This window comes from Homo sapiens, chromosome 5, assembly GCF_000001405.40.
Source record: "Homo sapiens chromosome 5, GRCh38.p14 Primary Assembly".
Taxonomy (NCBI): domain Eukaryota; kingdom Metazoa; phylum Chordata; class Mammalia; order Primates; family Hominidae; genus Homo; species Homo sapiens.
The window spans coordinates 151,338,771-151,360,631 of NC_000005.10; the positions used below are offsets into that span (position 1 = coordinate 151,338,771).

The 21,861-nt window shown below is 44.1% G+C and overlaps 2 protein-coding genes and 1 long non-coding RNA gene across 8 annotated transcripts in view, besides 1 other annotated feature; 1 reads left to right on the forward strand and 2 right to left on the reverse strand.

Annotated features, from left to right (window-relative positions):
- The window catches only part of SLC36A2 (solute carrier family 36 member 2), a 32,588-nt gene extending 23,799 nt beyond the window's left edge, over window positions 1-8,789 (reverse strand). For all 3 annotated transcript variants that reach the window (NM_181776.3, XM_005268377.5, XM_017009083.3), the window contains exons 1-5: window positions 8,527-8,789; window positions 5,407-5,497; window positions 4,740-4,828; window positions 4,118-4,213; window positions 290-374 (exon numbers count right to left, since the gene is read on the reverse strand). In NM_181776.3, the coding sequence (NP_861441.2) occupies window positions 290-374; window positions 4,118-4,213; window positions 4,740-4,828; window positions 5,407-5,497; window positions 8,527-8,690 (525 nt within the window). In that variant the 5' untranslated portion in view covers window positions 8,691-8,789. The remainder of the gene's footprint in view (window positions 1-289; window positions 375-4,117; window positions 4,214-4,739; window positions 4,829-5,406; window positions 5,498-8,526) is intronic.
- SLC36A1 (solute carrier family 36 member 1) overlaps window positions 5,826-21,861 on the forward strand; it is a 211,490-nt gene continuing 195,454 nt past the window's right edge. Inside the window, exon 1 of the mRNA XM_011537591.2 lies at window positions 5,826-5,964. The gene's annotated coding sequence lies outside the window, so the exon portion shown is untranslated. The remainder of the gene's footprint in view (window positions 5,965-21,861) is intronic.
- Window positions 8,302-9,215: an enhancer, noted in NCBI's record as "H3K4me1 hESC enhancer chr5:150726633-150727546 (GRCh37/hg19 assembly coordinates)". NCBI's record gives its function as "activates a minimal SCP1, AML or CMV promoter by ChIP-STARR-seq in naive H9 embryonic stem cells {active_cell/tissue: H9 hESC(naive)}" and the evidence as "EXISTENCE:reporter gene assay evidence [ECO:0000049][PMID:30033119]".
- The window catches only part of LOC105378234 (uncharacterized), an 84,540-nt gene continuing 76,307 nt past the window's right edge, over window positions 13,629-21,861 (reverse strand). For 3 of the 4 annotated variants that reach the window (XR_007059006.1, XR_944423.4, XR_007059004.1), the window contains one exon: window positions 13,629-14,036. This is a non-coding gene — a long non-coding RNA (uncharacterized LOC105378234). Of the gene's footprint in view, window positions 14,037-17,679; window positions 17,823-21,861 lie in introns of those variants that run through there. The other variant, XR_944426.4, reaches the window with a different exon arrangement.

The window sequence follows — 21,861 nt, forward strand, 5'->3', positions numbered from 1 at the left end:
AAGCTTCAAGGCAGGAGGATTAACAAAATCCAAGGGTCTTTCCATTCCAGTTCAGTAGAGATCAACTTTGAGAACAGGTCTAAGATACCGGATAAAGGGTATTGTGGCAAAAGTAACCACACAGAGATCTTCAGATATGTGAACTAGGGGAGGCAAGTTTGACAACATCTAGTTTAACTTCCTTTGTTACATTGATGAGGACCAGAGAGAAGAAGCAGTTTGTCAAACAACTAGCAGTGGCGTGTCCTTGTCCATCTTTTCCCCTCCCGTTTTCTCTAGAAGCCTCTACCTGTTTTAAATTATCAGCCAAAAACACAATGTACACACAGCAGAAGCCAAGTTGGGTGATAATAAGGAAGAAGCTCACGATATGCCTAGAAGGGAGAAGAGAGGGAAAAAGAAAACTTGTTATAAAATAAGTCAACTTGTCAGTTCCATTTCTTGCCATTCTGCCCTCTGTTCCCAGGGATTGGTTGCCCTGTACCAGCACACTTGGTCCTTCCACCACAATCAACAATGGGGCAAAGAAGTAAGGTAACAATCGTTCTTTTTTTTTTTTTTTAGAAGGAGTTTTGCTCTTGTTGCCCAGGCTGGAGTGCAATGGTGGGATCTCGGCTCACCACAACCTCTGCCTCCCAGGTTCAAATGATTGGCCTCAGCCTCCCTAGTAGCTGGGATTACAGGCATGTGCCACCACGCCTGGCTAATTTTGTATTTTTGGTAGAGACAAGGTTTCTCCATGTTGGTCAGGCTGATCTCGATCTCCCGACCTCAGGTGATCCGCCTGCCTTGGCCTCCCAAAGTGCTGGGATTACAGGCATAAGCCACCATGCCCGGCCAACAATAGTTCTTTTTAAAAGATGATTTTTAACCACCCTCACACTCTCAGCTCAGCAAGTGGTAAAATTCTTCCTGGTTATGAGCCTCTCCCGATACCGGGCTTGGTGGCATTCCTCATCATTGATACCAATTAATGTGGGACAGCAGGCACAATGTTTTTATTAGCTACCATTCACATTTGAATTTTTTTCTGCCATGTGCCAGAACTATGTTGGGCACTGAGAATACACAGACAAATAACATACAGTCCCTTCCTCTTGTGGTTTATAGACTAATGGGTTAGGTGGACAAAAATTCTTAGATATAGCATTAAGGGCCATGGTGAAAAGGGCATTTTATCTAAATTATGGGCAGACAGAAAGCCTTGTTAGAAAACCCAATACCTAAGAGACAGCCCCTTGGGAAAGGGAAGAAAGAGAGTTGTGGGGAGGAAGAGGGAGGGACAAAGAGAGAGAGAAAAAGAAGAAAAAGGAGGAGAGGAAAAAGAGGAGAAGGAGGAGGAAGAAGAGGAGGAGAAGGAGGAGGAAGAAGAGGAGGAGAAGGAGGAGGAAGAAGAGGAAGGAGGAGGAGGAGGAAGAGGTGGAGGAGGAGGAGAGGAGGAGGAGGGAGAGGAGGAGGAAGGGGAGGAGGAGGAGGGGGAAGAAGAGGAGGAGGTGGAAGAAGAACTAAGAGAAGAGGAAGAGGAGGAAGAAGAAGACGAGGAGGAGGAGGAGGACAGTTTTAGGAGAAGGGGAAGAAATGACACATTCAGAATCTGAATCTTTGAACTTGAGGTTCCTATAGGAGACGTTCGGGACACAACTGGATATTAGGGTCTGGAACTGTTGAGTTGTAGTAGTGGATAAAGCCTTGCAAAGGCAGAGCAGTGTTAGAAAGTGTGCAGAATGAGGAGAGTAGAAGACAGTGTTCAACCCTGGAGAACATCAACATTTAATAGAAACAAAAAAGCTTACAACAAATGCAAAGGAGTGGCTAGAAAGGTAGGAGGGAAACTAGGGGGAAAGAGGTTTAATAGTAGCCAAGTGAGGAGAGAATGTTGAAAAAAGAGAATGGTCAATTATACACATTACTGCTGAAAGGTTCTCTAGGGCAAGGAAGATACAACAAGAAGGTCTTTTAGGACATTGCTTGAAAGAACTTCAGTAGAATTATAAGGACAGAAAACCCAGGTGGCCTGTGAAAGAGGTGTGGATGGGATGTAAGGCAATAAAATCAGAGGGTGGTCCAGTGTTGATGGCACCCATTTGCTCGTTGCAGTAGACCCATTGTCTAAAGCACTTTATGACACATTGTAGGTATTCAGTAGACATTTGTTGAATAATATATATTGAATGTAGATAGGATGTTGGCTACAATGGTAAGGTCCAGGAAGTTTTATTTACTTGCTTTATTATTATTATTATTGTATCTTAAGTTCTGGGGTACATATGCAGAATGTGCACTTTTGTTACCTAGGTATACATGTGCCATGGTGGTTTGCTGGAGATACAGGAACACATTAAATGCTGAGAGGAAGAACCCATACTAAAGGAATTCCAGTTATAGGAGAGGCAGTAATTAATGAAAGAAGATCCCTAAATGGAGCAGGGAAATCTTCTTTATATGCCCAACAACAAGTAGAAGGATTTGACAGTCTGTGACAGGCAAGTCTCCTCCTGGGTCACACAATTGGGAAAATTCTGGTCATTATCCAGTAGTCTTCCTTGTCTGTTCACAGACTGAATTTGTGGATTACTCTTGTGAGTATGGGCTTTGAGCGAAGGGTGGTTCCAGGCCCATGATACCATACAGACTACCTGCCATGGGCAGGGGCACACCGTGAGTACTGCAGCAGTTTAGGGAAGCACAGTTCAAAAGAGAATTTGACAGTCTAGATGGTGCTCAACAAGAGGAGACAGACAGGTGGGGACAGGTCTGAAACAAGGAGAAAGGAGTAGATTTAGTCCCAAGTACCAGAGGACAAAGGGTGTTAACCTGTTCTCTGTCACCCCTGAGAGCTAAAAGGTGGGATTTTTCAGGGAGCAAGACTTCACTCAGCTCAACAAAGGGTTCTTAAAGTCTTGGTCTTTTCCTCTCTTTTCTTCTCACCATATAACCTCTCCCTAAGAGACCTCTCTGTCCCTGGCTTCATGGCTGATGACTTCAGTTCTGGATTGGTGCATGAAGATAGGCTTAAACCCATATATCCCCACTAGACATCTCCACTTAAATGTTTCTCAGGCACCCCAAACTCAACTTGTCCAAAATAGAAGTGATCATAAATCTGAGTCAATCTCGACTCTTCCTTGTCTCCCAATCCCAGGATCCAGTTCATGATCAAGTCAACTTTTCTTCATCCCACTGCCACCAGCTTGGTCCCAGCTACCATTGTGACCTGGCTGGGTACTGTTAATAGCCCCCTCATGGATCTGACTAAATCTGCTCTTGCTCCCTTACAATCTATTCTCCTTAGAGAAGCCAGACAGATCTTTAAACAATACAAATATGATGACTTTCCTGATTAAAACCCTCCAATGGCTTCCTGGTTGGTTTTAAGAAAAGAACAAATAGAGTCTTCGTTTCAGAGGGTCTAAAATGTACCACTTGATTGGGTGCCTGGCTCCTTCTTCAGTTCCACCTCCCTGACTCTCTGCCCTCAAGCTACCTGGTCTTGTTGTACCTTGAATCTGTCACCTATACCTTCTTGCTTCAGGGACCTTCACACCCTCTCTTCCTTCCAGCCCCACCCTCCAGGCCCCTGTCCACCTTCTTTGAGGTGATTCCTCATTCTTCAGGACTCCTTCCTGCAGAACTCATCTCACCCGTTCCATCCTAGAAAGCCCTCCTCTCCCCCAAGCCAACACACATCTCCTAACCTGCCTGGTGGCAACCAGCCCTTCTTTCCTTCATCGTACATATCCAAGCGGCTATTAAATAACTCTATTCTAGGCTGTTTAATGTCTGCCTTTCTCACTGGACTATGGGTTCTGTGAGGGCAAAGTCTTGTTCTTCTCAGTCCCCATGACATGTCCAGGGCCATAGGAGTAACTGGATAAATGTGGTTTAATAAAAGAGTAAAAAACATTAAAGCTGCGTAGCAAAGGAATGAGTATCCTGTCACTAGAGATACACAAGAAGTGGGGGTTGATCAGGGATGTTGCCAATGAACCCCTTCCATGTACAACATCTAACATAGAAGTGCCAAACAAACCACCTTTCCAGGGAAGAAGTCACCCTGATAGCAGCATTTTCTCCTCCTGTGTCCTACCCCACTGCAGGCAAAGCAAGAACAGGTTACCTTCCCCAGTGAGCGTGATTCTGGAGCCAGGCGTTGGGGTTGGCTTCTAGTCCATGCATCACCGTGTCCCCATAGTCCATAAAGGGCTTGTTAAGCCTGCAGGAGAGAGTGCATAAACGGTTTCCAAGAGATAGTTTAGCCTAAACTCACATGGTCAAAAGTCAGGAGACACAGAACAAGGCAGGACACAGCTAAAGAGCAGAAAGAACACAGGGGCAGAGACCTCGGGCTTTGACACTCAGCAGTAATTCCTCAGTGGCTTGTTTTCCTTACCTGTTAAATGAGGCGGAGACTACACAGCAAGAGTCTAATGCACACCTTGCACGGGGACGGTAGTTTTCATATCCATGATCCCATTGGATTCTCGTGACCATTCTCTGCATAGTTTATGCCCAATTTCCAGAGGAGCCAACCAGATAAGCACAATAGCCTGACTGAGATCTCCTAAGGAGCCATGCAGAAGAGCCTCACCTGAGCTCCCTGCCCCTGAATGCTCTTCACTCTTTCTTGGCCTTATTGGAGAAAACTAAGAAGTAAATTTCTATTATGCATAGGATGTTTCTGGGCTATCCCTGAGAACCATGCACCAAAGGAATTGACACAAGGAGGCTGTTTTCCTCACCTCTTACAGAAGCGCTGGGCACACTTGACCAGGATGTGCATACAGTGGCAGGCAATGAAGCCCATCACCAGCAGACTGAGTGGGCCCATCTGGAGGAAGGGGAGGCAAGGGGCGAGGGAGGAGAGAAGAGAATGCATTTATGAAGAATACTGCAAGATGGGCTTGGTAGTGCTGATATCATGCAGAACTCAAAGAACTCTCTAGCAAACTGGGTTTAAAGCCCTTTTGTAGCAGCAACAGCTATTCTTTCAAATATGACCTCAAGTAATATTCCAATAAAGCACATAAAGCAATTACAATGGGGTATACTGATGGGAGTAGGGGGACAGAGAATCCTGACCATGTGTGCCCTTTGTGGCCCCTGAAACATCCCCAAGGGGACCTGGTGTTCTATAGAGCATACTTGGAAAACTGGGCATAGTCCAATCCTTGCATTCTACAGGGGAGGAAACTAAGGCCCATAGAGCAGGCAAATGACTTACCAAAGGTACTAAAGTCTGTGGCAGAGCCGGAACTCAAACCCAGGCTAGATGTCTAGACCCTAACCCCGCACCAAGCTGTGTCCCAGAAAGACTGCTCACCACAGGTTGCTAAACCGCTAGAGCCTCTCCTCTTACTTCCCTTCTGCAACTGACCATAAAGCCCCCACATGTGGCGCCTCTCTTACCAGGATGCCCGCGTTCTTCACAGCGAGGGGTAGTCCCAGGATCCCTGTGCCCATGTTGCCTTTCACCAGGTGAATCAAGGCCTGGAACACTCTAAAGGAGAGGAAGGAGATGTGAAGTATGGGTGTGTGGAGGTGAGAAGATCCAGCGGTGATTCCCTTGCAGCATGCCAGCACCTGATAGGCGGGCTCCTAGCCATCTCTCAGTCCATGAGTCCTTGCCTGGCACATCTGGGTCTCCTGTAGGGTTACCAACCATCCCAGTTTGCCCAGAACTGTCCTGGTTTTAGCAGCTAACACTCAATATATGCTGCAACACTTACTATATGAGACACTGTGCTAGGTGCTTTAAATCAGTATTATCTCATTTAATCTTCTAGTCAAGGCTCTGACAAAGATACGATTATCATCTTGCAGGTGAAGAAACTGAGGCACAGAGATTTGTTAATGACTTATCCAGGATATATTGGGGAGCCAAGATTTAACACAGTGCTGCTTCAGAGTCCCTGTTCTTCACCCCTACTTCTGCTGAGCTGCCTCCCAGAGATAAACTCAGACAGCGTAAGTAAAGAAACAACCCCATATCATAACTGAGGAAATGAAGGCTCAGAGAGGGGCAGAAACTAGCTCAATGTCATAAAACTAGTAGTAGAGACAGGCTTGAACACAGAGAAAAGGGGAAAGGGCAGGCAGAAACAAAAAATCATTGTGACTTCTGAATAAACAGGTCGGATGACTGGGTCCCCAGATGAGGTCTGGCGGGGCATAACCATTCAGGGATTGGGCTCCAGAGGGATTTCTTTTCTCAGCCCAGGGCATCAAGGCTGGAGAGTGCACACCTCCCCTCCCCCAAACAAAAACTCAGACCCTTCCTTTAAGACAAATGCGAAGGTTTGCCCGGAGGACAAAGTCTAAACCATCAGGAGAAAAAATGTTCCAGGGAGGCACTCTATTAGCGGAATTACAAAACAACCTATTTCTACACGTTTTTGTACCTGTACCAGGTTAAGTCAAGGCGAGCATGGGGTTTACACGTGCAACTTTAGAAACCTTGGAAATTCCCCATGAGAACCTTCTGGTTAGGAGACTTATTCTTTGTAAAACAACAGAGGTACTCTGAAAGGAGCCCGGTCTCTGGGATTTGACAAACCAGGGATTAAACCTCAAGGCCACGACTTAACTAGCTGTGTCATCTTGGGCAACGTGTTCAACTTTGTTGACCCTCTGTAAATGTCAGGAGTGATGCTATTTTTAAAAGATGCTATTTTAAAAGAATCTATGGGCAGAGGCTCAGGAAGCTTCATATTGAAGCTGTAAACCCTCTAGCTTCCTGAGTCTCTGTACATAGATTCATCAAGGGTTAAAGAGAACAATCGAGGGAGAAAGGGGGTGGAGAGTCCCTGCATGCCTTTCTCCCTGTGGGTGTCCACATCGCTGACCGAGCACTACACCCTACTCGCCAGGCTAGCAATGGGCTTGTTTTGCAACTAGGAAAGGGTCAGCGGGTTACTTTGGAAATTTCTAACTAAAGTACTTAGGAAATCAGAATTTAACTTTGGGCCACTCAACCAACTTGAAAACATAGTGCGGTAAGTCATGCAAAGCACCAAACTGGGAGTTGGGAGACATGGGCTCCAACTCTAACTCCTTTCTTTTTGGTCACCTTGGACTGTCATCTTATTCACAGCAGCCAACACTTACAGACACTGTGTCTGGGGTATTTATGCTCAAATCTCCCAGGAGGAGAGAACTATCATTGACAGAGGAGAAACTGGACACAAAGAAGTTCCAGCATTTGCTCTAGCTGGTAAGCAGCTAAGTGGGAATTCGAGTCTGGGTGAGCCAACCCCATCGTTGCCACGCTTACTCAGCCCGTTATTTGGCTTCTCCCCAAGCCACGTGTCTCCCTTTAGCTCTCACTTGCTTTATTCCTTTGATCCTTAAGTTGCTGAAATTGCCATCAAACCTTGTATCAGTTCAGGACACAAGAGACAGGTGGTTCCCTCAAGGCCTCTGACTGAGAAAATGCCTCTACTTAGCAGTGGCTGGCCCCAACTTACAGACAGCACACTCTCAGGGTCACTAATACTTAGCAACTTCCAGGACTAGCCCTGGGGCGACAGCACAGGCAGCAGGGCCAGTCACTGTGTCCATCCCTAAATTGTCCTGCTGGATGGCTGTGGGGAGGGGCTTTGCCTGCCCCTTACAGTCCCTCCCTGCAGTGCACCCCCGAGAAACACATCCTCCGATTTTGTTTCCATGCACCCTCCTTTAGTTCACACTGCCACCTGTTTTGCATGTCAGAAAACTGGAACTTAGAGAAGGAGCAGAGAAACCACTTGAACTCAGGCCTTCTGATTCTCTGTCCAGTGCTCTTTCTACTATCTAGTGGTGCAAAAACTTTCTTCTTAAAGCAGCAGAACCTCTTCACTACCACACCCCACACCTTTTGTTCCTAAGTAAACTAGCAAGTCTGGTTGGGTGGTGGGGTCAGATGTGGGGAAGGGAGCTGCAGCCCTGTAGCTTGGCTTCCCTCTTTTTTTATGTTTTGGAAGCCTTGTGAATAACCCCCACTCCCCACTCCCTGGAAAGTGGAAAAAACTAGAACTTTCCACAAAGTGTGTTTTTTAGAGTCATCTATGCTTCTCAGTTGAAGTAGAGGCCAGGCTTACTGCAGGAAGGAGGCAGGGAGGAGGAAATACTTAGTGGTCAGTGAGGCCACTGTGGTTTTAAGCTCAGGACTCACCTTCTCCTCCAAGTAGTTAGGGATTCTACCTCTATCCCCAATCTTAACATCGCTGGCCAGGAACAAAAATGTGGCTTTAGGGCCAGCACTGAATTCTAGCCCTTATCCTGCCAATGACTCAGTATGTGGTCCAGGGTAATTGAGCCTCAGTTTCCCCACCTGTGCCTTTTGGGATCTGGATCACTATGTCCCTAAGGGCTTTTCTGACAGCCTTTACTTCTGCCTCAGCTTGACTCAGCCCATGACTGCACCTTTTGCAACCTTGGTTTCTCATCTGCACAGTGGGTTGAGGGTCAGACACACCCACCTCAGGGTTTTTGCCAATGCAAGCTTCAGGCTAGAAAGCAGAAATAGGGATGGCAGAAAACAGCACTCACGTTATGCCCTTGGTCTTCTTCAAGCCTGCTGACTCTGAAGGACTTTCATCCAAGAATGTAGAGTCCTTGTTCTCCAACTTCTTGGCACTTTCAGGAGGCGACATAAGGTCCAATTTGATGGCAACGGCTCCCTGGGGACCCTCAGTACTTTTTGTCACAGACATGACTGCTTAAGAAACAAGGAGCTCGGGGTGACAAAGAGGTCTGCTCTGGAAGGAGGGAAGCAGGAAGGTGTCTAGTGTAGATGTACACCCCAGCACAGTGGTGTGTGCCCGGGCTGGCTCTGGCCAAGCTGGAACGAGGCCCCGCCCACCTCCCTGGAGGGCACCTCTTCCTGCCTGGAGAAGCCAGTGGACGAGGACTCCTGGGAAGAGGAGGAGAGGAAGGAGGGATTTGGAAAAGGCATCACCCATTCGTATTGGTATTACTTAATAATAATCATAATGATAACTATTATACTGATAATTTTAATAACAAATATCTATTAAGCCCTGTACTAAGGGATAAGCAATCCTCTAAGTGTTTTATCTACATTTTCTCATTTAACCCTATCAATTAAGTAAGGAGAAAACTGAGGTTTCTTGAAGTAAAGGAATCTGCCCGAGGTCAGATAGCTAGAAAGTGACAGAGTTGGAACCTAGCCCAATTTGTCAAGGTTTTCAACCAGTAACCTATTTCTGTCTCCAAGAAAATACCTACAAATCCCTCTCCTTTTATTCATCTCAGGGTAGAGGTTTCCATGTCTCACTGGCTCCACAGTCTGCTGTAAGACATCCCTTCTTGCAGCACCCCATTCTTAAATTGGAACAAAAAAGGGACAGTCACTCAGTCATCTCTAATTAATTCTTAGCTTTTGTGAGGCTCCATGGAGTGAGTAAAGAGTGTTCTTCTGGAAACGGGGAAGAGGCTGAGATTGTATGACTCCCAGCCACAGTTTGCTGGGCAAGATACTGGCGCCAGGAGGTGGTGAGATTTGTCTAAGGTCACACATGAAATCCAGGATAGAACTCTGCAGCTAAAGATGGTCTTGGGCGTTTCTCTAGTATCCCACTCTCTGTCATTATCTCTGCTTCAGTGCAGATGAACAGGCCAAAATTTCCTCCTCCCTCAAAATTACAGCTTTTGACTCAAGCCATACCACTCTCTCCTCCATCATCTCATCCCCAAAACTAACATTTCTTAAGGGCTTATTACATGCCACAAGCTTTGCTTAGCTAATGTCACTGCTAACTGGTAGCATCCAAGACAGATTTGTCAGGCCCCTCCCTTACATGGGGCTCTTTCCAAGGTCCTGTATGCAATTTTGAATGGACAATTTTGTATTGCTTTTTTCTTAAAGAGGTCCTCCTTACCACTACTTTCCCCTTCTCCATGGGATAAGCTTCAAGCTCCACAAAGCCTGGCTACTTCTGTGGGTTAGCTTTGTTAGTTTGTTTTTACAGATGTGGAAATTGAGGCTCAGAGAGGAAAAGAATAACTTGCTGGAGGTCACAGCTGGAACTCGGTAAATCCGAACTCCCCGCTAGCCAGGTTTTTTTTGGTTGTTGTTGTTTGTTTTTTGTTTTGTTTGTTTGTTTTTTCTGAAGCCTGCAGCTTTGACCACAGCACTGTCTCCTTTGTTTTAATGCTGGCCCCACCCTGCCAGCTTCTTGTCCTGAATCAACTGAAACACTTGCTGTGATTTGAGAAGTGTTATTCCCTTGTCTGGCACCATTACATGGCAGTATTACTGGTCTGTGAAGTAGCAGGCTGCATCCTGTGACCTGCTCGTTTACAGCCTGAGATTCCACAATTTAAATTTGTAATCTCAGATTTGATGTCGCAGGTGGAGCTCTGTGTTCCTGCTCGAGCAAGGTCAGTAATAAGATTGTTGAGGAGCTTGCTATGTTTAGATATGAGCTAGTTCTTGCCTTCCTCTCCAGGTTTTGAGAAGAACTCTGAATTATCTTCAGGCCTTTTGGAAAGGGGTGGCTGGAATATCAGTGTTTGGCCAGAGCTCTTCCCAGGCATCGTCAGTGAAAAAAAAGCTTGTAGGGTGGGGCTCCACACCCCAACTCATTGCACCACATGTTAGCAGGCAGGAGGTCTTCTCCTAGGGTGGGGATGTCCAAAATAAGCCCTTCCAACACGAGTGGCCCAGGCATCCGAAGCCCTGGGTTCCGCTATGGCTCTAACTATGAAGCTGTGGCAACCCTTGGAAAGATATTATTCCCCTTCAAACTCCAGTGTCCCCTTTGCAAGATGGATACTAGATTGTAGATGACTTCCAAAGGCATGAGAACCCCAAGGGCTTGGATGGGGTGTTTGGTAACGCTGAGATGCAGGCCAGCTTTTCTTGGGTGGGGCAGGCAACTGGTGAAAAGACAGCCTGCCCACTAGACATCTCCAAAAAGAGTGGAGCAAATGGGATGTAAATAATGATAATAATCTCCTATGATCCTTTAGAGTAAACACAGAGCCTTGTTCCTTTCATGGCTTATGGCACTTTTAAAACGTGGTGTGTATCAAAGCATCTGAAGAGATAATAAAGAACAGAGACTCAGACTTGTTGAAGTAGGATAGAATCTGTGCCATGTTATTTTTGCCAAGTTCATCAGGTGATTCTGATACTAGCTGAAGTTTGAGTCCACTGTTCTATGGAGTGGGAATAATTGCTTCTTTTTTAATAGATTAGAGAACCAAGGCAGAGAGCTGGGAAATATTTGCCTGAGGTCGTATAATCTGGTAGAAATGATCACTGGTACTCCTTTGGGCTAGAAGTCAGAGACTTCAGAGACAAAATGAAACCCCTACCTGGATGAAAATTCATCACCCTATCCTCACCACCACCACCACCACCACCCTCCCCCGGCCCCGGGTACCTCCTCATAGTCTGTGGCTGATGAATGTGACTCCTTCTACCCCCATCTAAATAATAATGATAATAGCGACTCACATGTATTGAGTCTATTCTATGTGCCAAGCTCTAGATGAGGTGTGTTACATGAGGTAGGCACTATGATTACCCCCATTTTACAGATGAGGAAACTGAGGCTCAGAGGGGTTACCTCCCTTGCCTAAGGTGACCCAGTTAGTACTAGAGACAGAGCTTTGATTGGATTCCAGGCCTCTTGGCATGTGCCTCTGAAGCTGCAGTTGAGTTATCTCTGTGTTCCTCTGCTATGACTAGGGCGTAGTAGGAACTCTGAAATAGTTGAAAACCCTTTCCTGTGCATACTTTATGCCATTCAAGACTGGGACTTCATGCATCAATCAAATTTCTAAATAAATGTTAGGGACTGATATAGATGGGCAAATTCTCATTTCTCTCCATTAAAAACCTTTAAAATATCACCATTAAAAAAAAGAGAATATTTCAACCCCCTAAAGCTGGAAGAACATAATATCAGGATAAAGGATAATGGGGTTTTTTGTGGCTTTTTTGAAACAGAGTCTCACTCCATTGCCCAGGCTGGAGTGCAATGGTGTGATCGCGGCTCACTGCAACCTCCACCTCCCAAGCTCAAGTGATCCTCCCACCTCAGCCTCCCAAGTAGCCAGGACTACAGGTGCATGACACCATGCCTAATTTTTGTATTTTTTGTAGTGATGGGGTTTTGCCATGTTGCCCAGGCTGGTCTTGAATTCCTGAGCCCGCCTTGGCCTCCCAAAGTGCTGGGATTAAAGGACAATGTTTTTAATGCTAACAATACTGCTCCCTTTCTGATGGCCACCACTCTGTGCTTTGGTGTTTCTCAACTGTAAAATACTAATGAGTGTGTCTTTAGGCAGGCGTGAGGATTACATGAGAAAATAAACAAGTACAGTGCCTGAGTCACAGTCAGTGCCCAGAGAGGAGAACCATTTTTATGATATCATTTTATTGTTGGAGGGAACTTACAAGGTCATTTCGTTGACTCATACTGTCTCACCGATTGGGAAACTGAGGCCCAGATAGGAGAAGGAACACAGTGAGTGAACAGGGATACAGTGGTGAGATAGGGACTTTAACCCAGCCCAGGTCTTTTGATTCCCAAGCTCTGTTGCAGTGAGACGAGATCGCACCACTGCGCTCCAGCCTGGGCAAAAAGAGTGAAACTCTGTCTCAAAAAAAAAAAAAAGCTATTCCTGAGAACCCCTAAGTGGCCTAATCACATATTCATGTGTGTAGGTATAGGCTCTGACACATTTTTAGGTTTCTGAACTTGCTGGGGAGAGTGAATTGCGGATGAGGAGCGGTCAGTGGCATCAGCAAGTGGCTTCTTCTGGTGAACGGGAATGGGGTCTCTCACTTGTTGCAGGTGTCAACTCTTATGACCCAACTGAGTTTCATTTATCCGTTTCTTTTTTCAGCAAAAGCTAATAATGATAATGACAGTTATCATCATCATCATCATACTGTAACGAGAGCTACCATTTATTAAGCATTTTATGTTATACAGTATTCAGAGCAATCCTTCATCCTCACCACCTCCATTCTCATCCAAGCCAGCATCATCCCTCACTTGGAAAACTAGCTTCCTAACTAGTTTCCTGGCCTCTCCACTTCCCTGTTTAAAATCTATTTCCTCACAATAGCAAATGATGATGCAACTCCCCTTCCTGAAACCTCCTCCTGCTCCAAATTGACCTGAGAACATATCAGTATTCCTCACCACAACCCACAAGGTCCTGCATGATCCAGCTGCTGCCTCTCTCCCAACTCACCTTGTTCATGTCTCTCCCTAGAACACTATGCTCCAGTCACATGGACCTTTTTTCCTGCATTAAATTTTGTCCTTTCCCTCCTTGGATACTGCATTTGCTGCTCTCTGTGCCTGCACTTTTTATCCTCTGCTTTTTGTTATGCTAGTCTTAGGTCAAGATTTTTCTGCTCCAACAACCTCCCTTGACAACTCTATCTAAAGGAGGACCCTCTGCTTGACTAGTTATTCTCAGTCATACCCCTGCTTTTTTTCATGTTGCTTCTCACAATTTGTAATTATCTTGATTATGTGTGTGTATCCCCATTGTTGTTTATGTCCTCCCACTAGAATTTAAGCTCCATGAAAGTGGGAAGTACTTGGTCACCTTCCCAGTTCTTAGGCCTGGCTCATGGTAGGCTCTCAAAAAATATTCAATGAATGAATGTGTTATTGATCCCATTTGACAGATGTGGAGTAAGCCTCAGAGGTCCTTTCTTTTGCCTGTGTTGGTTTCCTATGGCTGCTCTAACAAATTGCCATAAACTTAGTGCCATAAAACAACACACAAATTTGTTCTTACAGTTCTGAAGGCCAGAAGCCCTAAATCAGTTTCAATGAGCCAAAGTAAACATGCCAGCAGGGCTATGCTTCCTCCAGAGGCTATGAAGGAAAATCTGTTTCCTTTGTTGTTGTTGTTCTTCTTCCTAGCTTCTAGAGCATTCTGTACATCCCTTGGCTCGTGGCTCCTTCCCTGATATTCCCATAGTGTCTTCTCTCTCTGACTCTGCTTCTATCCCATGGGCTTCTTATCTCTTGTCTGTAGTCAAATCTCCCTTTGTTTTCCTCCTATAAAGATACTTGAGATTAAACATAAGGATAATCCAGGATAAACCTCCCATCTCAAGATCCCTAACTCAATCACATCTTCAAAGGGTATGATTTAAACCCAGCAAGGGCTGTCCAGATTCTTCTTGGCCTCTCTATGCAGCATTCCTTACTTCAGGGTATGGGGCTAGACCCCCTCTGGAATAAGGGTCTTATGACCCACAATCAAATTAGAGTCCTGCCTTGGGCAGGTGAAAGGAGGGGAGGAGAAAGCTAGAGAAAAAGAGATTCTCTTTGCTTTTACAAGGGCTATGGGAATTATGAGCCAGGAACCATGGATGAAAACATATGTGTTGAAAACCATGAATGAAAACATATATATGTATGTGTGTGTGCATATGTGTGTATATATATAATATAGATATCATAGACTCATAGTACTTAGTTAGAGGCATAACAGTCCCTTCATTCTACAAATTGTGAAACTGAGGCCCAGAGAGGAGAAGTGAGCACACACAAAGATACTATGTTTAGGACAGAACCAGGCATAGCATCTAAAATATGGTTCCCAGTTTAGAGATTGTCTACCAAAACCTAATGTTGTCTTTAAAAATAAGTGATAGACTATTCTTTTAGAGCAGTCTTAGGTTCACAGCAAAATTGAGCCAAAGGAGCAGAGAGTTCCCATATACCCCCAGCCCCACGCATTCACAGCATCCCCTACTATTGACATCCAGCAACGGAGTGAGACATTTGTTACATCAGTGAACCTACACTGACACACCATTATCACCCAGAATTTACTTTGGGGTTCATTCTTGGTGGGGTGCATTCTGTGGGTTTGGACAGGTGTCTAATGGCGTGTATCTACCATGAGTATCATGGAGTCATTTCACTGCCCTAACCTAAAAATCATCTGTGCTCTACCTGTTCATCTCTCCCTCTTTTCTAACTCCTGGCAACTACTGATATTTTCACTGTCTCCATAGTTTTGCCTTTTCCAGAATGTCATACAGCTAGAAACATACAGACCGTAGCCTTACAGATTGTCTTCTTTCACTTAGTAATATGCATTTAAGTTTTCTCCATGTTTTTTTATGTCTTGGTAGCTCATTTCCTTTTAATGCTGAATAATATTCCATTCTTTGAATTTACCACAGTTTATTTATCCATTCACCTACTGAAAGACATCTTGGTTGCTCCCAAGTTTTTGCAATTATAAATAAAGCTACTATCTGCCGGGTGCAGTGGCTCAGGCCTATAATCCCAGCACTTTGGAAGGCTGAGGAGGGTGGATCACTTGAGGTCAGGAGTTCAAGACCAGCCTGGCCAACATGGTGAAACCCCGTCTCTACTCAATATACAAAAATTAGCCAGGCGTGGTGGTGCACACCTGTAATCCCAGTTACTCTGGAGGCTGAGGCAGGAGAATCACGTGAACCTGGGAGGTGGAGGGTGCAGTGAGCCAAGATCGCACCACTGCACTCCAGCCTGGGCAACAGAACAAGATTCTGTCTCAAATAAACAAAGAAACAAACAAATTAAGCTACTATAAATATCTTTGTGGATATTTTGGATTGGCATGCGTTTTTAATTCATTTGGATAAATATTGACTTTGTCATTTTATCAGATCAGTGCAGAACAGCCACCCTTGAGGAGATTTTCTTCTACCAAGATAATATCTGCACTTCAGCCAAGTCTTTGTACTCTCTGTGTTTCATGCATGCACAATGAGCTAAAATGGTTTTAGAGGCACAGAGTCCAACCTCCTCATTTTATAGATGGGGAAACTGAAGCACACAATTTGACCCTGCCCTGTCCCTGGGGCCCTGTCCCTCAGCGGGGTTAGGGGTCATTTGGATTAGATTCTGCTTTGGTAGGGGGACAGAAAAGACAGACAGTTTCATGCCCACTCTCCATTTTGCCTGCTAGCTCCAGGAATAGTCTTGGCACTAACTCCTGTTGTCTAGATTGGAACCCCTGCACATGCACATACCTGAACCAATCATTGTGACCCTAGTGGTCAGCCCCTGGATTGGAGGCAGAGTCAGCCTCACCAGAACTATATATACGGGGGGTGGCAGAAGTGGTTTTCCAAAGGAAAATCAGAGAATAATTACCAGAAAAAAGGAGGCTAGATGCTGGGCAGCAGAGCAGATGTTCACCATAGCGGGGAAATACAACTTGAACATTAAGAGCTATAATGCAAGGGAGACCATGGTAAGTCCTCCCTACTGACCGAGGAAAAACACATTAAAATGACAACAATGAACTGTAACCAGCAAAAAGTCTGGCTGCTCGCTGCTTATAGAAAGAAACATGAGTGAGGTGTAATAAAAAGAGAGTGAGATTTTATTATCCATGCAAGCAAGGGGCAGAGTGGGTGGAATTCTTTCCAAAATTTTTTACTCTTCAATTTGTGGAGGGAACACAGGAGTTTTTCAAGAGAGGGTTTGGAATGGCACAAGGCGCGGGAGCATAGAATGGGAAAAGAAAAAGAATGCAGGAAAGAAAGCATTCTGAGGCTGCTTGAAACTGCAGGGGAAAGGGGAAAGAAAAAAAAATACCTTTAAATGGAGGGTTGATGCCAGGCTATTCGGTTACAGTGCCACAATACGACATACTACTGGAAGTGAATTTGGTAATATCTATAAAAATTTGAAAAAGTGCATTCCTTTTAACTCTGCAATTTAATTTCTAATAATCTCTTCTAGAAATGCTCACACACGTATACCCCAGGGTGTTTACTGCAGCATTATCTGTAATAGCAAAAAATGGAGACAACCTGCATGTACCACAGGAGGATAATTGTTCATAAATTATCCTAATTCTATTGAGTGGAATATTGCCATGGCTGTTAAAAAGACTCAAGCATATCTGTATATACTGACGTGGAGGGAGATTTAGGATATATTACTGTGAAATATGAAATGTTCATCACACTAAGTACAACATGAACCCATTTTTCAAAAAACAAATGGAATCAATTTATTTTTGAGAAAAGCATAAAACCGCATACATCTCCAACTGCAAGAACCCAAACATAGAAAATACACATGCATACACATCTTGTATACACATGGTTGTATATGCTTGAGAAAGATCTGGAAGGATTCACAGTAGTTCCTCCTGCAGTGTGAGAATATAAGTGGACACTTAGGGGTGAAGCAGATGTGGGAATTTTGTATTTTAATTCCAATGTTTTTGATTTTAAAGGCATATTTAAAAATTAATATTAATGTGCTATTTTGTAACAAAATTAAAATTTTACAAAGGATATGTTAAGAATACAGGAGGATCCCAGAACTTTGGGAGGCTGAGGTGGGTGGATCACCTGAGGTCAGGTGTTCAAGCCCAGTCTGGTCAACATGGAGAAACCCCATCTCCACTAAAAATACAAAAACTGGCTGGGCATGGTGGCTCACACCTGTAATCCCAGCTAACTGGGAGGCTGAGGCAGGAGAATCGCTTGAACCTGGGAGGTAGGGTTGCAGTGAGCTGAGATCACGCCACTGCACTCCAGCCTAGGCAACAGAGCAAGGCTCTGTCTCACAAAAAAAAAAAAAAAAAAAAAGAATACACGAAGACCTGATAAAGTGCTAGAAGAAAAGTGCTACGAGAGAGAGATGAGGCGTATATCTGTTACTCACACCTCCTCCGAGCTGGAGCCAGCAAACTCTAGGAGGAGAGGGGCTGTCATCTTTGTGTTCCCTTTCATCCTTAGGAACTACGTGTGTTGGGCATATAGTAGGTCTCTGGTGGCTGAATCTTCTCCCTGAAATGCCCTTCAGGCACTGGCTCTCCTCCTGAATTTTTGCAAGAGGAAATTCAACATTGAAGTCCAGTTTCAAGTACCCCCCTCTCATCCACTTACTCAAAGACAAGGAAGCAGTTCAAAAAATCCCTCCACATTAAAGTTTACCTCTGGGCATTCAGTTGTGGTCAGCCCCTCTTCTAGGCCATAGTTCTCTGCCATAAATTCAGTGAAGAACATGCTACACAACTGGGGGCAATTTTCTCTCTCAAATTTAACTTCAGACCTAACATTTCCCTTCAACCTGCTCATGATTTCCTGTGCAATTCCTTATTGTGGATCAATAAGGAAGAAAAAAATAGGAAGCTAGATAGGGTCAAGGGAATGAAGCCAGGTAGCTGATGATAATATTCACACAAGCAGGGTGCTCCCATAGGTAGAGGACTATGCAGGTCCCCAAGCACTTGACCCATCCAGAATCTCCTTGATGTTAGCAAATCTAAGAGGAAGAAGGGTAGGAATTATAGTCCCCATGTTACAGATAAGGAACTCGAAGTTCATCGGTTTAGTGATGCCCATGTGTAGTGGTAGACAACTGGAAAATCTTCATTTCCTAGATTTCTGACCCCCATTCACAAAGCCACAAAAGGCCTTTCCCTGGATCACAGCCGGAACCTCACTTAAGCCACAGGCCCACATAGCTAAGGGCTTTAGCGGTGGTTGTGTGATAATAGGTGGTAGGTAGTGAGAGAAAGGTGGTTGGCTGCCAGTATCAGCATGACAAAACCCATCATTGTTCTTGGCACTAAAAGGAGCACTAGCCAGTTTGGGTGGTTCTTCTGTCAAGGGAGAGATGGAGCTTCCATTGCTGTTTTTGGAGAGTAGGAGATTTTGTGGACTTTTACTTCCTTACAAGCTGAATGATAGGCCTTTTGGGCCAAGTATTAATACTAATCTTATCTGATTTATCTCTTCTTTTGAAATAACCTAAAGCAGGGGTTAGTAAACTATGGCCTATTGGCCAAATCTATCCTGACACCTGTTTTTAGAAAAAAGGTTTTATTGGAACTCAGGATGCCCATTCATTTACGTATTGTTTAAATCTGCCTTCATGCTACATTGGCAGAGTTGAGTAGTTGTGACAGAAACCATACAGACCACGAAGGTTAAAATATTTACCATCTGGCTCTGTATAGAAAAAGCTTGCCAACCTCTGACTTAAGTCAACATATATTTTCTGAGCATGAACTCTGTGCCTTCTTGCTCTTTTACTTCCAGAAATCTGCTGGTATTCTCCACGATTAAAACCTAAATCTTGTGGCATCTGTTAAAAGAAAACCTATAGACAGATAAGATTTAACAGTGTTTAATTGAGCAAAGAATGATTCATGAATTAGGCAACCCCAAGACCAGAATAGGTTCAGAGAGCTCCAGGCTGCATTGTGGTCAGAGAACTTTTATGGACATAAAATGGAAGTGAAGGACAGAGAGAACTTGATTGGTTAAGGCTCAGCATTTGCCCTATTTGACCACGGTCTGCTCAGTTGGCTGCCTGTGATTGACTGACTAGGCAGCTGTGATTGGCTGAGACTCAGCTATTTGTTACAAAAAAGTATACCCTTATATTTGGTTTTCAGTTAGTTTGCATACTAAGTTAGGTTGCAGTGTCTTATGCAAAGACCCAAGTAGGGAGACAGCCTCAGGCCAGATTTAGTTTAACTTTTTTTCTTTTCTGTTTTTTTTTTGTTGTTGAGACAGGGTCCTATTCTGTCACCCAGGTTGTAGTGCATTGGTGATCCTCACTCACTGTAGCCTTGAACTCCTGGGCTCAAGAGATCCTCCTGCTTCAGCATCCCAAGTATCTGAAACTACAGGCATGCACTACTGTGGCCGGCTAATTTTTGTAGAGATGGGATCTTGCTATGTTACTCAGGCTGGTCTTGAACTCCTGGCCTCCTCCTGCCTCAGCCTTCCAAATGCTAGGATTACAGGTTTAGTTTAATTTAACACTTCTCATCTGGTGCTTGTTGTACATGTTTCCTGATAAATTTTTCTATCCCCAATTCCTCAACATTACTGACTGGAGAAGTGGTTCTCAAACTTCAGTGGGCACGACAACCGCCTGGGAAGCTGGTTAAAGTGTTGATTCTCGGCCGGGCGCGGTGGCTCACGCCTGTAATCCCGGCACTTTGGGAGGCCGAGGCGGGTGGATCATGAGGTCAGGAGATCGAGACCATCCTGGCTAACAAGGTGAAACCCCGTCTCTACTAAAAATACAAAAAAATTAGCCGGGCGCGGTGGCGGGTGCCTGTAGTCCCAGCTACTCGGGAGGCTGAGGCAGGAGAATGGCGTGAACCCGGGAAGCGGAGCTTGCAGTGAGCCGAGATTGCGCCACTGCAGTCCGCAGTCCGGCCTGGGCGACAGAGCGAGACTCCGTCTCAAAAAAAAAAAAAAAAAAAAAAAAAAAGTGTTGATTCTCAAGTCCCACCCCGGAGTGTTGATTTAGGAATCTACATTTTTATAAATGCCTCAATGATTCGAATGACATCATGTAAGAGATCATGTATGGTGAATTACTGAATCCTAAAGCTATAAAACAGACATATTGGCCCAATGATCTTTCTACACAGAGAAATAGCAAACTGTCTGAACCATCATTTCTTTGGCTCCTAATACATCCATGCCTTCCAGAGTCAGCTAACTTTCAAACAACATCCACAAATGTTTTAGAAATCTCCTGGCTACCCCCACTCAACCTATATCTCTAATGAATCTCTCCTGATACAACATCGAATTGCAAGAAAAACATAAGCTTATAGTTAGAAACTTTTCAGAGCAATTTCTGGAGGAGGCATATTTTTTCTTCTCTCTTTCTCTTCTAGTCTAATTCTCCTAAAAGATTTTCAGCTAGCAAATAAGAGGCTAAGAGGGGACATTCCATTATTTAAATAGCCTTATTATTATAATTTGCATGCCATAAAATTCACCCACTGCAAGTGTGCAATTAAATGACTTGAGTAAATTTATAATTGTGCAATCACCACCACGAGCCAGTTTTGAACATTTCAATCACACCTAATAGTCTCCTCCTGCCCATTTGCTATCCCCAGTCATGCCACCCTACCAGCCCTAGGGAGCAACTGATGTGCTCTTTGCCTCTATAAATTTGCCTTTTTTAGACATTTCATATAAATGGATTCACACAACATGTGGTTGTTTGCATTTGGCTTCTTTCACTTAGCATAACGTTTTTGAGTTCATCCATGCTGTAGAATGTTTTGAGGTTCATCCATGCTGTAGAAACAAACCAATAGTTTGTTTCTTTTAATTGTTGATTGATATTCCATTGTATGGGTATGCTGCATTTTGTTTATCCATTTACCAGTTGATGGATCTCTGGACGGTTTTTAGTTTTGGCCTATTATGAGTCATGTTGTCATAAATATTTGCATACACGTTTTTTGTGGACGTAAGTTTTATGCTTTCATTTGCCTTGTATAAATACCTATAAGTAGAATTGTTCCATTGTATGTCAAATACTTGATTCTTTTTAAAATTTTATTTTTATTAAAGCTTTTTTAAAATTTTTTGCTTAAAGTGGTGGATCCTCAACAGTTGATTCTTAGATAATGCAGGGATTAGGAGCACAGACTCCTTGGAGAGTTGAAAATCCATGTATAGCTTTTCACTTCTCCAAAACTTAATTACTAATGGTTTACTATTTACTGGAAACCTTACCAATAACATACACAGTTGATTAACGCACACTTTGTATGTTATATGTATTATATATGCTGTATTCTTATAATAAAGTGAGCTAGAAAAAAGAAAATGTTACTAAGAGAATCACAAGGAAGAGAAAATATATTTACTATTCATTAAATGGAGTTGGGTCATCATGTAATTTTCATCTTCATTGTCTTCATATTGAGTAGGCTGAGGAGGAGGAGGAAAAGGAGGGTTAATGGTGCTGTTTCAGGGGTGGCAGGGGTGGAAAAAGGTGGAAGGGGAGGCAGGACAGGCAGGCACACTCAGTGTAACTTTACAGAAATACACTGAACTTCTGTCTGACTTTTTCTGCTTTTTCATTT